This window comes from Homo sapiens, chromosome 7, assembly GCF_000001405.40.
Source record: "Homo sapiens chromosome 7, GRCh38.p14 Primary Assembly".
NCBI lineage: Eukaryota > Metazoa > Chordata > Mammalia > Primates > Hominidae > Homo > Homo sapiens.
Window position 1 is genome coordinate 144,547,280 of NC_000007.14, and position 15,405 is coordinate 144,562,684.

Consider the following 15,405-nt stretch of genomic DNA (forward strand, 5'->3'; position numbering starts at 1 on the left):
CACAGTCCTTTCAAATTCTGATGAGCTCTCTAAACATTTGTTTCAAAATATCTCTAGTTTTTCCTAATTGTTTCTGCAGTGGCTCATAGAAAGGTCTTTTTACAGGTCTTTTTGTTTCAAAATATTTATTTCTTGGAAAAAAATTTATTTTCTTGTGGGAATCTAAGTGCTTTACTTGTTAGAAAAGAACGATACAGTTCCATATTTTACTTGTACAGCTTTGCCGTATTGGTCAATTAGGAGATGATCCCTTTGACATTCAATCACAACTCTTTGATTAAATTATTACTATCCTTAGAAAGGCTAGAGTTGATTCATTTCACAACGACTGATGGTTCCTTTTGGAATCAGCATTTATCTCATGAACAGGACCCCCTTACTTTTTAATATTTTTAACTCAGATAGTTTTAGTACTAGTAGGACCTAATACAGTTCACAATTACTGGAAAACATTTTAAAATTTAATAAGAGCAGCAAATCTTATGTTAAAGATTTGACTACGAAAATAATTTGCTGCTTCTCTAGCAAAGTAAAGTAGGTTTTTCAAATATACAAAATCGTGAAGACGGTGGGGCAAAGAGTTCTTTGGTATGACATCAAAAATATGATCCATAAAAGAAAAAACATAGACTTAATTAACATTTGTTAATTTAGTTAATTAAATTTCAGAAAATGAAAATATATGCTAAGGGCTAAAAAATTTTTGCAAGTCACACACCTGGGTAAAGGACTTGTATCTAAAATACATAAAGGACTCTTACAACTCAATGTAAAAATAGCCAATTAAAATATGGGTAAAAGAGCTGAATAGACATTTCTCCAATGAAGATATATGAATGTTCCATAAGTACAAGAAAAGATGCTCGACATAATTAGTCATCAGAGAAATGCAAATCAAACCCCCATAAGATGCCACCTTCACATGCTCTAGGATAACTATAAGCCAGAAAACAGATAATAACAAGTGTTGAGAATGTGGGGAAACTGGAACACTCTTACACTGCACATAGAAATGTAAAATGGTTCAGGTACACTGGAAGGTAATCTGGCAGTTCCTCAATAGGTTAAACATAGAGTTATCATATGACCCAGCAATTCCTCCTAGGTATAGACCACAGAGACATTAAAAAAAAAGAAAGAAAGCAAGAAAGAAAGAAACAGAGAAAAAAAGAAAAAAAAAAATCATTCCTTTATGAAAAGGTTCTACTTACTGAGGTTCCACTTGAGGCCTGTGGTTGTAACCTGCATACAAGGCTGTCCAACAGGAATAAGGCCACACCAATCACCCTCCATTCCAGTGTCTACATGCAACCTGTGCTTTCCCTGAAGGAGACAAGAAATGATCATTAAGAAGGGGAAGAGAGAAGGAATGTTAATGTGCACTGAAGACCTGGGCAGGATGCGTCTACAACCCTCACACGGCTTATCATACTTAATCCTCACAAAAAAATGTTTGCAATATGTGCTGAATAATCCTAGGAACCTTCACCCGACTTAATCCTTACAATAATTTTACAAAGTATCTGATATCTTATTGTTAATTATGTTTCAACTATGAGAAAATTGAAGCTTGCAGAGATTAACATAGGACCACACAGATAAGGGATTCCTACCTACACCTGCCAATTCCAGAGACCAAACTCACAGCAATAGGACTGTGGGTTTGAAACCTATCCTAAATGAAAGGTACCACACAAAGAGAAACACACAAAGACAGCTGCTTCTCAGCAGCCATTACAATGTATTCTGCTTTTTTTTTTTTTTTCTTTTTTAAGATGGAGTCTCACTCTGTTGCCGAGGCTGGAGTGCAATGTTGCAATCTTGGCTCACTGCAACCTCTGCCGCCAGGGTTCAAGCAATTCTCCTGCCTCCTGAGTAGCTAGGACTACAGGCGGGCACCACCACACCCAGCTAATTTTATATTTTTAGTAGAGATGGGGTTTCACCACATTGGCCAGGCTGGTCTCGAACTCCTGACCTCAAGTGATCCACCCACCTCAGCCTCCCAAAGTGCTGGGATTGCAGGCATGAGCCACGACACCTGGCCTTGCGTTTTTTGTTTGTTTGCTTGTTTGTTTTCCTAAAAAAGTTTTTATTTTCTTTTAGGTAAGAGCTGCCTTTATTCCTTTTGTATAGAATTCCTCCCCGCCCCAAGTTGATTTATATTGAATAGCTTGCCACACAAATTTGAGATTTGTTTCTTCCTACCATTCTCCATTATATAAATAATTCTCTCTGAAGACAGATATACTAAACATAATACAAATGACCATCCCTAGATGCCAAACATAGCACACTTTTAAAACAAGTGCTCAAAGAGGTATCAAAACCTTCTTTCTAATAGAAGGAGTTGATGAGGCCAGGTGCAGTGGCTCACGCCTGTAATCTCAGCATTTTGGAAGGCTGAGGCGGGCAGATCACCTGAGGTCAGGAGTTCAAGACCAGCCTGGCCAACATGGTGAAACCCTGTCTCTAAAAAAAAAAAAAAAATTAGCTGGGTATGGTGGTGGGTGCCTGTAATCCAAGCTACTCGGGAGGCTGTGGCAGAAGAATTGCTTGAACCCGGGAGGCAGAGGTTGCAGTGAGCCGAGATTGTGCCATTGCACTCCAGCCTGGGCGACAGAGCGATGCTCCATCTCAAAAAAAAAAAAGGAGTTGATGAGACAGATGTTTTAGAAATTCGGATTTCCTTAGCATTACATTAGCTTCAGCAGATAAGGAACAGGAATTGGTGACGACTTATCATGTAGGTGGATCGCCACCCAGTTTCCTGTTGAAGGGCAGTACTCTTAGGGTTCCCATCAGAAAACACAGCAATTTCAGAGGGGTTATAGGTAACCTGTAGCATTCTGGACATTTTGGGGGCAGAGAGTGGAGGGCTCAAGAGAGCACCAGTGGAACAAGGAAAGGAAGGTACACCTTGTCCAGATCTCTGTACTTCTGCATCTGATAACGGTGTTTCTGACAATGAGACCTGTTGTTAGAGTGCGACTTCTCCATCACTTATCAAAGAGGAATTCCTGTGTTCTTGAGCTATCTTATTTTCAGTGTGTTACAGTTAGTTCTTGTCTCTTAATTGATGATTTTCTTTCCTCTGTCTGTGGCCGGCTTAATGGTTTGGCAGTGCCTAGCTGAATACGTTAGCATGTTTGGTGCTCCTAGGTGACTTCTGTTAAGAATGGCGAAGGAAAGAAGGAAGTGTTTTTCAATTTGTGATATTAACTCCCTAAGAGAGTATTCTTCAACTTGTATCGTATAATGCAAAGGAAACAGCACATATACATGCTAAGTTTTATTCTCCCAGGGAGAGGAGGGCTGTTATAAAATCCAATGATTTAAATGACATAGTAGTAAGCATGCTATATATTCATTGCCTTCCTCATTATTTTAAAGAATCAGCAGGCCTTAAAATTTTCAGTCTGGGAATAAACTCGTTTGTGGACTTGAGAAGTCACAGATAGGCCTTAGCCCACAATCAATTAACCATGTTTTCTCTTGTTCCAAAAAGGTGCTTAGCCATATGTGAATGGTCTTTGTGTTTATAAAAATGCAAATACAGTTTTTATGGTTAAATGAGAGCAATATTTTCCTCCTGTATCTTCAAGTCTATATGACATCTTTTGAAAATGAACAACTGTATAAAGGAATTTTTGTTCATTCCCCAGATTTCTTAATTCATAATATGTGCTAGCCTATATGTGACTTGACACAGGCAGGCATACACGCTGACATTAAAGAACTTCCCTATGGATTTATGCCATTACTGGAGACTAGAGGCACATGAACTCATCATTTACTTCCATCTTCTCCCATGAATCATTTCACAGGTTCCTGCTCTGGCCTCTTTTCCGAACTAAGATAACTCTTTGAAGTCAAAGCCAGCCCTATATAGTAAAGAAAGAACAAAAATCAATCACAGTCAGGTTGCTTTTCCAATTGTGGTTATTGCAACACATCTAACAACCTTAATAATATGAAATTGTAATTTAGGGAAAGGTAACACAGATGTTGCTTGGTATGTGTGCTGGAAAGCATACCTACGATCATGTGAAAGACAAACAGCGTAACAGTATTAATTTCCCTAGACTGTCATGTCAGGGTAGAACAAAATACACACAAATATGAAGGGGTGAGAAATCGCTGTCCCTTTGTTTTGTATTATAACTCCACTTTCCAAAGGACAATGACATAACTGAGAGAAAAGATTAAAGCTGACTCTAGATTTTGCCTTTGAAAAATACCAAACATTGACAGGGCATGGTGGCTCATGTCTGTAATCCCAGCAATTTAGGAGGCTGAGGTGGAAGGATCACTTGAACCTAGGAGTTGGAGACAAGCCCAGACAACATAGTGAAACCATGTCTCTACAAAAAAAAAAAAAAAAAAAAAAGAAAGAAAAATATCAGAGAGATATCTAAATTCTGTTTACATACCAACATCCTTAAATCCAATAACTATGCCAAGTTTTGTGCTAAGATATTTCAGTGTGGATATCGCAAAATATACAGCCAATTAACAAGATCATTCAGAAAGCACTGAACAGAAAAAGAACATAAACACATTAGATTTAGTGTAAACAATTCAAGGAGAAGCTGCCAATGCTAGTTTATAAAGTGGCCATGCATTCATCAAGTTGTTGTTAATGCTGAACCTACACTCTGAGGCTAATGGCAGCCACAATTAGTGGCACACGGTTAGACCCTGTATGAATGAAATATTGCTGTAGACGGATTAAACACAAGGCCAGTCTCTGGTAGCTCATTTTTTGTTAGCTGGTCCAGGTACTTTAAAAATTTATCAACAAACACTGCAGGAAATTAAATAGCCTGCAGGAAAGAAGAGTAAAAGAAGTAGACAGAAGTATCTACATTATATTTAGCAGGAAAAAAGGTTACTTCTCCTACACAACAGAGTTTTGTGCTGGTATATTTTCATACTGTGACTGCTCACATAGCTGAAAGTAGTCACAAGATAAAGGGTCTCCCCAGTGAACTTGTAGTTGTAAAACCTCAGAGTTGGAAGTCTTATATATTTTCTTTGATTCTGTTCCACAAATGTGGAATTCAAAATAAAAGTGTATTGGGTTCATTTGAAATAGCCTGTATCAAATTAATGTTGCATGTATATATATTAAATTGAGGGGTGTTCCCTTTGAAAAAGCATTAATATGTTATCTACAGATAGCTTTTAGAATTTCAAATCATGTTAGAACATTTTCTAAAGTGCTTTCCATAGAACATTACTCCCAGGGTCAAATACAGATTGGAAAAATCGCTTTGTCAATTCACCTCTTGGAAACCACGATTTTTGCCAGCATGTTAGATGTTCTAGGCAATCTTGCAGCAAAAACAAGTAAACACAAACCCTGTTTACCTGAATAAGTATTTCCAAAATTTACTTCACCACAGAACCTTCCTCTGCTGCTCAAATATCATCTCGTAATTTCCCATGGAAGCTTCATTTCATGAAATCGACTTAGGAAAATGTTGATTGGGAATAATATTTTTCACACAACACCCAAAACTAGCATATTTTGGTTTAATATTTCCATAGTCAGAACATTTCAAGAATATGTTTTGAACTTAATAACTTCCATTTGATTTTTGTTTTAGAAGTTAGTCAATAACCTCTGGCTGAAATCACATACGTGTTCTGACATGAGCTAGCTGTACTATTAAAGGGTTAATGACAATACTCAACAGTTATCCAAAAGAAAACCTTAATGTAGTTAAGTTAGTTTGTTTATTCAAAAGTCAAAAACATGTATGAAATGCCTACATTTAGAGATAGTAAATAACTCTAATGACAGGCTAATTTCCTTATCAATCGCTTCACATTGGATATTACAAAATAAAACATGACACTGATGTCTCTGCTTTGTTATCACCTCTGCATTTATGCCTTTTTTACAATGGATCATATCTTATCTTCATGCCTTCCTTTTATTCCAGTCAGAGAAAAACCCAACCTTGGCCTCTTCAAAAGATATAGACATCTTAAATGATGACTTCTAGAGACAATATTTATCCCAGAAGTAAGCGTTACTGACAGCAGAAACAGGACAGGTTGCATTGAAAGATATATTTTGAGTTAGTGTGATCTCAGAGTTTTCAAATTACTTTAGATAAATGCTTTTCTTAACATAGCATCTGATCAGGATGCCCATGCTCTCCTGTCTGCTTCTATACTGTTTCTCCATCCTCAATCCAGAGAAACATCAAAGCAAAATGCAAGCTTTACTTTTTTAATGAAATCTCCCTATGTGTTCTAAATAGCAAAGATGACTTCCTCCTGAATGCTACAATTTTAATTATTTATGCTACAAAATGTAGCACTTTGGTACTGTATTGCATCCCTCAAATAGTTTCATGTTGTATCCCTAAAAAGAATAAACTTTCTTTGAAGAACAAGAATCTAATTTTTTTTCTATTGGACTTACAGCACAGTGGAAGGAACATATGTATCAAATAAATACCTGATTGTTTCATTGTTTAAAGAAAACGTATTGATGAAAAGGTGTCAATATGCTTTGAAAAATCTTCTCGCAGTATCTGAGTAGATGAGGGAAGGTCCAGGTGAACTGAAAGGACTCAAGAGACAGACCCATTATTCTTTGATAAGATCAAGCTTGCCCAACCCGCGGCTCACAGGCTAAATGCAGCCCAGGACAGCTTTGAATGTCACCCAACACAAATTCGTAAAGTTTCTTAAAACATTGTGAGATATTTTTGCTATTTTTTTAAAGCTCATCAGCTATGTTAGTGTCAGTGTATTTTATGTGTGGCCCAAGACAATTATTCTTCTTGCAATGTGGCCCAGGGAAGCCAAAAAATTGGACACCCCGATCTAGATAATGTTTGCTTAATTGGATACAAGTAAACTGTACACCAATAATCATGAAGACCCTGTCACTAGTGCTTGAAATACACTTAAAATGTAATTTTATGTGTTTCTGTAAAATGCGGACTACAATATTACCTCCCTGAGTTATTTTCAGGATGAAATAACACGTTGAACGTGCCAAGAATAGCATTTCAAGCACTCATATTATATATGTTGATTTACTTTTCTCCATTTATCAGCTCCTCCAGGTTTAATTTGAACCCACACTTTCTTTCCTTTCTGCTTTTTATTTTTTTAAAAACCTGGCCACTTTGCTCCAGTAATTTTTAAAGAAAAATAAGTGTGATTAGCCCTCATAAGACTAACGTAAAATATTAGCAGAAAGAAGGGAAAAGAAAAACATTTTAATGCTATACCTCCATGAAACATTAAGATACCTTCCTTTTTTTTTTTTTTTTTGAGTCAACGTCTCGATCTGTCGCCCACGCTGGAGGGCAGTGGTGCGATCTTGGCTCACTGTAACCTCCACCCTCACCACGGGTTCAAGCGATTCTCTTGCCCCAGCCTCCTGAGTAGCTGGGGTTACAGGCGCCCAGCACCGCGCCTGGATAATTTTTTTATTTTTAGTAGAGACGGCGTTTCACCATGTTGGTCAGGCTGGTCTCAAACTCCTGACCTCGTGATCTGCCCACCTCAGCCTCTGAAAGTGCTGGGATTACAGGCATGAACGACGGTGCCCAGCCGACATTAAGATATCTTAAGGAGAGTCATTTCTCCAATTTGTCATACAGAAGCTCTAGTTTTTAGTAAATGAATTTTTAAATAAGAGCATACCTCTTTTACTTTGTTCATCATTTTAAAAAAAGTTCTAAGAACTCCTTCTGAAGCCTAATATCTGGTCACTAAACCCAATGTGAAATTCTTCAAGTTATTTTTTGGAATTCTCAACATGAATTTAGCCAAATACTGCGATAACTCAATGTTATCTTTTTTTTAGTGATAGTAATAATTTAAGTAATATTTCATTCAGATTCTAAATATACTAACGTATTTCCCACATTTTCTATAATTGTAAAAGAGTTGATTGGAATGCTGTTACTGCAATACATATTTCAACTTTCTTCCTGTATTATTAACTGCTCCAACTTTGTTACTATAAAAGAGCTACCAAAGAGAGTCCCCTTCAATAGACAATCAGCTTCCCACAATTACTGTAAGCACTAACATTCCCTTCTACCTGAACCCCCCATCTTTTGTCAGATGAGCTATTCATCAATCCCCATGCACTTCGCTTTGATGTTATCTCAGAAGCTACAAGTCATTAAGACTGGCAGGAGAATGGAGGATAAGCGGGGAGATGGTTCAACCGTAGGGAGAACTACTGGAATGATCCTATTCATTATCAAACTCCAGGCAGCGTTTCTGCTAGCTGAGAATGTGGTATGGCTGATGTTCAGCATGCTTAACTGAATGTTGGGTGTCTCGTGATTTTTTTCACTCGTGTTAATAATGCTCATGGGATATTGTTAGTGTTCCTGAAGAAAGTGTGCAGGGAAAGACAACAAATTTGCATTTATTTATTTTGAAAACCAGCATGACTATCAAACTCTGTAACCTGGAAGAAATAATGAGAAAGATCTAGTTAAAGAAAAAACGGGGCGAAAAATGAGTATCTTGTCCAGGCGTGGTGGCTCATGCCTGTAATCCCAGCACTGTGGGAGGCTGAGGCGGGCAGATCACCTGACATCAGGAGTTCGCGACCAGCCTGGCCAACATGGTGAAACGCTGTCTCTATTAAAAATACAAAAAAAAAAAAAAAAAATTAGCCAGGCTTAGTGGCAGGCGCCTGTAATCCCAGCTACTCGGGAGGCTGAGGCAAGAGAATTGCTTGAACCCGGGAGGCGGAAGTTGCAGTGAGCCGAGATCGCGCCATTGCCCTCCAGCCTGGGGAACAAGGGCGAGACTTCGTCTCAAACAAAACAAAACAAAACAAAACAAAACAAAAAAAAAACCACACAAACAAAAGAAAAGAAAAATGAGTATCTTACTTTATTTGGGCAACTAGAATAAAACACCACAAAATGGTAGCTTATAAACAACATAAATTTACTTCTCAAATTTCTGGACCCTGGGAAGCCCAAGATCCATATGCTGGCAGATTCAGTGTCTGGTTAGCACCTGCTTGCTGGTTTACAGATGGCACCTTCTCAGTCTGTCCTCACGTGGGGAAAGTGGCAAGGAGTCTCTCTCAGGCTTCCTTGAGAAGCGTACCCATCCCATTCAAGGGTTCCATTCTCACGACCTAATCATCTCCTAAAGACCCCATTTCCAAACTTGGGGTTTAGGATTTCAATATAGGAGTTTTGCACGGGGGAGGGGAGACACAAACATTCAGACCATAGCAGTGAGGAAACAATTTTTGAGTATTTGCTTGGTGCAAATATTCTGCTGGGCACTATAATTCTCGTAACAACCTTGTGTGGTAGAATTACTGCTAAAATAAAGATTGTAGACTCAGGGCAGTCATGAACTCATTCAGGATAACTCAACTAGTAACAGTAGGTGTGATATCTCAACCCAAGTATGCTGTGATTTTAAAGCCCACTTGTTTTTACTATGTCATCATGTATTTCTAGGCTCTAACTTTAAAAACCAGTCTGGCCCATTTATCTCATTGCTTGCTTTTTCCCCATTCTTCCTTTTTGTTCCCTATATTCACTTTCCAAGTGAAGCTTCTGCATGACCTTGCCTAAAGTTTATCCTAAATAATAAATACTCATACAGTACATGAATGAATAAGTCAGTGAATGCCTATCTTCTTTGACCTCATCCATGTATCTTCAATAGAATGTCCCATTCTCTTTATTTACTATGTTATGTCTCCATTCATTTCGCTGTTCTGTGTTGGTGACTGAATATGCGGAGGATGCAGATAAGTCTGTGTGAAACACTTATTCATGTTTTCAAAACATGTCTATTGGGTTTTCCAGAAGTTCACAAAGAATGGTTAAAGCAAAATCAATAACTGGGCTATGAACAAGAAAACTGAGATACAATAGTCATTTTTTTAAAAAAAATCCAGTATCATAAAGCAAGAACAAACAGGACAATTTTGCTTCTCCTCTCCCCCAATCTTAGAAAATATTAATGAAAAGCAGGTAGGCTTAATATTCAGATGGTACAAGTCCCAACACTCAGTTCAGATGCCACCGAATCCACTATCCTTCTCAGAATCCTTTGTTGAACTTGTAATCTGGGCTACTTGCATACCTTCTGCTCTCCACACACACTATTTCAAGTCTAATTCCCTTACCAGAAGATAAATGCCTCAAGGAGAGAAGCAGATCTTATTGATTTTTTTTTTTTTTAATTTTGAGATGGGTTCTGGCTACGTTGATCAGGCTGGCCTCAAACCCCTGGGCTCAAGTGATCCTCCTGCCTCAGCCTCCTGAGGAGCTGGGAGTATTACGTACACAGTAGGAGTACAATAAATATTATGAAAAGGAAAACACTAAGCTTAGTAGTTTCCATATAACAACTCTTGACCTTCTTCATCTGCCATCTACCACCTTACTACCCCATTTATTTGTTCCCATTTACATTAAGATTCCTAGAAAGCACTGTCTAAATTCACTGTCTCCAGTTCTTCTCCTCTATTCTGTCTTTGATATAGTTTTCATATTTGTCCCTGCCCAAATCTCGTGTTGAATTGTAATCTCCAACATTGGATGTGGGGCCTGGTGGGAGGTGACTGGATCATGAGGGTCGATTTCTCATGAATGGTTTAGCACCATCTCCTTGATGCTATTCTTGTGAGAGTGAGTTCTTGTGAGATCTAGTCATTTAAAAGTGTGTGGCACCGCCCCCCACTCTCTTGCTTCTGCTTTTGCTGTGTAATGCACCTGCTCCCCCTTCACCTTCTGCCATGATTGGAAGCTTCCTGAGGCCTCCCCAGAAACAGATGCTGCTATGCTTCCTGTATAGCCTGCAGAACCTAGAGCCAATTAAACCTCTTCTTTTATAAATTACCCAGTCTCAGGGATTTCTTTATAGTGGTGCAAGAACGACCTAATACTGTCTTAGAGTCATACCAAATAAGCTTTTGCCCCCATCACTCTTCCAAACTGGCTTTCACTGAGAAATCCAATGACCTCCAAGTTGCTAAATTCAATGGTCAACTATTAGTTTTCATTTGAGTTGACCTATCAGCAGTGTTTGCAATGGGTTATCATTCTCTCTTTTTGATAAATTATCTTTACTTTGCTTCCAGAATACCACACTCTTTTGATTTTCCTCTTAACCCATGTGTCTTTCACTGGCTCCTCCCCTTCTTTTCAAACTCTCAATGATGGAGGGTCTAAACTCCTTACTCTCAGCAAGATCCTCCTCCCTCATATGCCCATATTCACACTCTTTGTGATCTCAATCATCTAGATGTTGTGGAATCCCAAATTTGGATCTCTAGCTCAGACTTCTCTCCCAAACTCTGCTTTTGCATGTCCAATTGCCTATTTTACATATCTTGACCTTTTACCTCAAACCCACCCCATTCACAGCTTTTGATCTCAGTTGAGAGCTACTCCATCTTTCCAACTGCTTAGGCCAAAGGATTTCTTCTTTTCCCATACCCCACATCTAACCCATAAAGAAATCTTATTGACCCTATTCTAAATAGTTTCAGAATTCCTATCACTTCCTATCACATCTCACAGTCTCATTCATTACCACCCTGTGCACTTTGCCATAATAAGGTCTCCTCTTGCCTCACTAGAGTCTGTTCCCAAACCAGCAGTTGAAAATGATCCCTTTAAAAAGTAAATCAGACCCACCTACCTCCAGGCTGACCCCTTCCCTCAAGAGAAACACTCCCAGGTTTCAGAAAGCATTCCATTTTCTTTTTCTAACTCTTGAGAAGTCTGGGGATACTATAGATTCTGTCCATGGAGTCTGAGGAAATCACTGTCATTGTTAGTGAATCCTTCTTTTGAACTTGCCTGGGTTAATCTACCCTGCATGCAGCGTGACCATTAAGAGTACTGTAAGCCAGGCACGGTGGCTCATGCCTGTAATCCCAGCACTTTGGGAGGCCAAGGCGGGTGGATCACCTGAGGTCAGGAGTTCGGGACCAGCCTGGTCAACATGGCGAAACATTGTCTCTACTAAAAATACAAAAATTAGCCAGGCATGGTGGCGGGTGCCTGTAATTCCAGCTACTTGGGAGGCTGAGACAGGAGAATCACTTGAACCCAGGAGACGGAGGTTGCAGTGAGTCGAGATCATGCCACTGCACTCCAGCCTGGGTGACAGAGCAAGACTCTGTCTCAGACGGATGGATGGATAGACAGACAGACAGAAAGACAGACAGACAGACAGACAGACAGACAGAGTATTGTAGGTGCTAGAGAAAGACTTCATGGATTTCAATCCCTTTCTATCATGTCTAAGTTTCATTTTCTTTAACTACAAAACCAGAATAAAAACGTTGCTTTGGGAACTTAATGGCTTGAAATGCAAAGCCCTTAGAATAGTGCCTGCCAAAGAGTAAATGCTCCAAAAACATCTGCTATCATTATGTTTAGAAAACAAACGGATTAAATCACAGGTAACACAATTAATTACTTTTACTTTTAGAAAGTCAGTGTACCTGCCTCTCATTTTGGGGATCTTGAATGTTGGGATACAGTTGTCTTCTGAAAGCAACTTGAGAAGTACTTCATAACCTACAACCTACTGTGTTTGGGCAAAAATGTCAGAATAAACACTCCTTTCAAGTTATGTAGATTACAATCTTCATTGTTATAGTGGTCTTATTTTGATACCTCTTCTATATCAGATACTTTGACATGAGAAATGTAAAAGCACTGATACTGGGGTGTGTGTGTGTGTGTGTGTGTGTGTGTGTGTGTTGGAAGGGAAATATATAGATTTTTATCCTTTAAGGTAAAATTGTGGTAATATTTCTGAGAAAAATATGCCTTAATACAACTAAGCTTTCCATTTTGATGCTAGAAAGATTATTGTAATGAGAGTACAATTAAGCATACTAGATGTGACAAGTTGGGTTAGAATTAACAACTGATATTAAGCGGCCTTTACACTTGTCACAAACCAAGCGCACTTCAGGAGAACATGATCACCCTCACCCTGGACTTGACTCAACTACCCAGTCTTCTCCCCTCTCCTGTTCATAAAGGTCTGTGTGTCTGTGTTTGTCTACCACTCTCTTCCCTATTTCTCTGTGGCAATCAAGCTCCAAAACAGCGCCCAGTGAACCTTGCCTCCTGGTATTTGTGCCCTTGCATTCCCTGCACCGAATAAGCTAACCTGTATGACCAACAGGACACTGCAGAAGTGCGGGTGTATTGTAACTTCTGAAGCTAGATCATTAAAAAAAAAATACAGCTGCCCTCTTGCTTGCTATTGAAGATTACTTGCTCTGGGGGAAGCCAATCCTTATGTCATGAGGACACTCAAGCAGCCCTTTAGAGAGGTCCGTATTGAGAGGAATCCAACCTCACACCCATCGCTGCCACCAGCTGGTACCAACTTGTCAGCCACATGGAATCTGATGCCTGACACCAGGACAACCAAGCTATACAAGACCCTAAGCTTGGAACGTCCAGCTAAGACCAAATTCCTGACCCACAGAGAAGCTTTGAAAGATAATAAATGTTTACTGTTGTGTTAAGCCACCAAGTTTTCGGGCAATTTGTTACACAGCAATGGATAACTAACACACTCTCAATCTCTTGCTGTCCCTCTCCAGATGGCTTTGTCTGCACTATTTTATCTTTGTATGCCCACTGCCTTTTTTCCTTGTCATTCCTTGTGCTCTTTCTGCTTTTTTAGGCCACCATAAAACAGAAAAATCATTTTTGGTGTTTTTTTATGTGTTTGTTCAAAAGAGTTTAAGGGTCTCTTAAAATTGTAAAAAATAAGAAGTTTTATTTATTTATTTTTGTTTCTAAAATAAAAGAAAATGACCAATTTTCCCTCCTCTTCTCTGGGAGTTATCTGGACTGTTTTTTTTCCCCTGCTTATCTTTGTTTTCTCCTGGGCTATCAGTCTGAGAAAGGTAATAGTGAAGTCAGAGAATAAAGGTTCCTCAACAGTTATTTAATGAAGATGGAAACATAATCATTAAAACAGAACACTTTACGCTTAACAGCACTGAAAATGCTCAAACACACTGTACTGTATGTGATTGCTGACAAAGCCTCCATCTGAACAAGAATGAACCACATGTCATAATGAATTTGGCATACTGGGGAAAAAAGCATTAAAAATATTATACATTAACTATCTCCGTTCCTGTCCAAAAACCACTTATGCTGTCTTCATTCAAATAAATGGTAAAATATGACCATACTGTTATACTGAATTTGATTGGACCTTGTAAAGTTTTCAAAATTGGATGGTCCAACTCCAGACACATTTCAAAAGGAACATGCAAAAAACTGTTCTCTACCCTGTATTGTCTACTTTTCTAGTATTTTTAATACAATAAAATATTTTAGTTTTACAGTTATCAATTTTTGGTATCCTAGAAACTCCACAATGATGAAAAAGAACAGGTGCTCACAACAAAGCAGAATTACCAACATATTTATGGCCTTATCGTTTGACAGGGAAGGTCAAACCTCTCAGAGTTTATTCATAACCCTGCATCGGCTTTCAATTCTTTGAAAATTGCTCCTTGATACCCGACTTCCCTGAAATCACAGAGAGTGGCAGCCACTCTCTTAAGGTATAAATCAGATTCTAAATAACTGATAGTGCTTTTTTCCTCTAGACATGGACAAGAAAAGCACTGCATTTTCATTGCTGAATGCCAGTACTTAGAAAGACCAGTGCACCAAGGATGTTTTTAGGGCTTAATTTCTAAAGTCATCTATAAGAAACTGCCTTTGAGATTTTTTTTTTAAAAAAGGTCCGGCTCTTGTGTGTCCCTGGCATTTTAATAACCTCTCTTCTTTCGTTCTCCAAATTCAAATTTAACGCAATCGCAAACTTAGTGACTGTCCATCACTATAAGTTCTATGACGATGTAGCTGTTCCATACTTAAGAAGATGTGGATAATTTTGGCTCACTATAATACCAGCTGATGACACAACGGCAAGTGAAAATAGTCACACAGATGCATAGGCAACTAACAATTTAGAAAAAAAAGTAAAATTAAGGACAAATAGAGTAAGACAGGAAAAAATCTTGTGTTTTTTTCTCTATGAGATATCAGTAATTGTTGCAGGGCCAATTAAGAAGTAGGTCATGGGAACTCTTTATTGTAATAATTAGTAACATTATTTAAAAATATTTGGCATTTAGCAGCTCAGTCACGGTAGCTGGACATTTCTTCTGAAATGTGCTTATACACCTGGTGAACAGTCTGAAAGCCATACAATGTGAAAAACAGGAATCTTTAATCTGCTGCCATGTTTTCAACTCACGAGTTATCAATACACCCTTTATAAAAATAATGAAATGCTGCTTTTTCATTTAGCTGTTTATCTCAATAAAATTAATATAATCATATTAAGGTTCATCCAGATGTCTGTTTTATC

At 38.4% G+C, this 15,405-nt stretch overlaps 1 protein-coding gene across 44 annotated transcripts in view; it reads right to left on the minus strand.

Annotated features, from left to right (window-relative positions):
• TPK1 (thiamin pyrophosphokinase 1) overlaps window positions 1-15,405 on the minus strand; it is a 384,497-nt gene that overhangs the window by 95,339 nt on the left and 273,753 nt on the right. For 43 of the 44 annotated variants that reach the window (NR_146934.1, NR_146935.1, NR_146936.2 and 40 more), the window contains one exon: window positions 1,212-1,323. Coding sequence is in view for 40 of the 44 variants with exons in the window: in XM_005249970.2 (XP_005250027.1) it covers window positions 1,212-1,323 (112 nt within the window). In the remaining 4 variants the exon portion in view is untranslated. Of the gene's footprint in view, window positions 1-1,211; window positions 1,324-2,919; window positions 3,885-15,405 lie in introns of those variants that run through there. The other variant, XR_001744630.2, reaches the window with a different exon arrangement.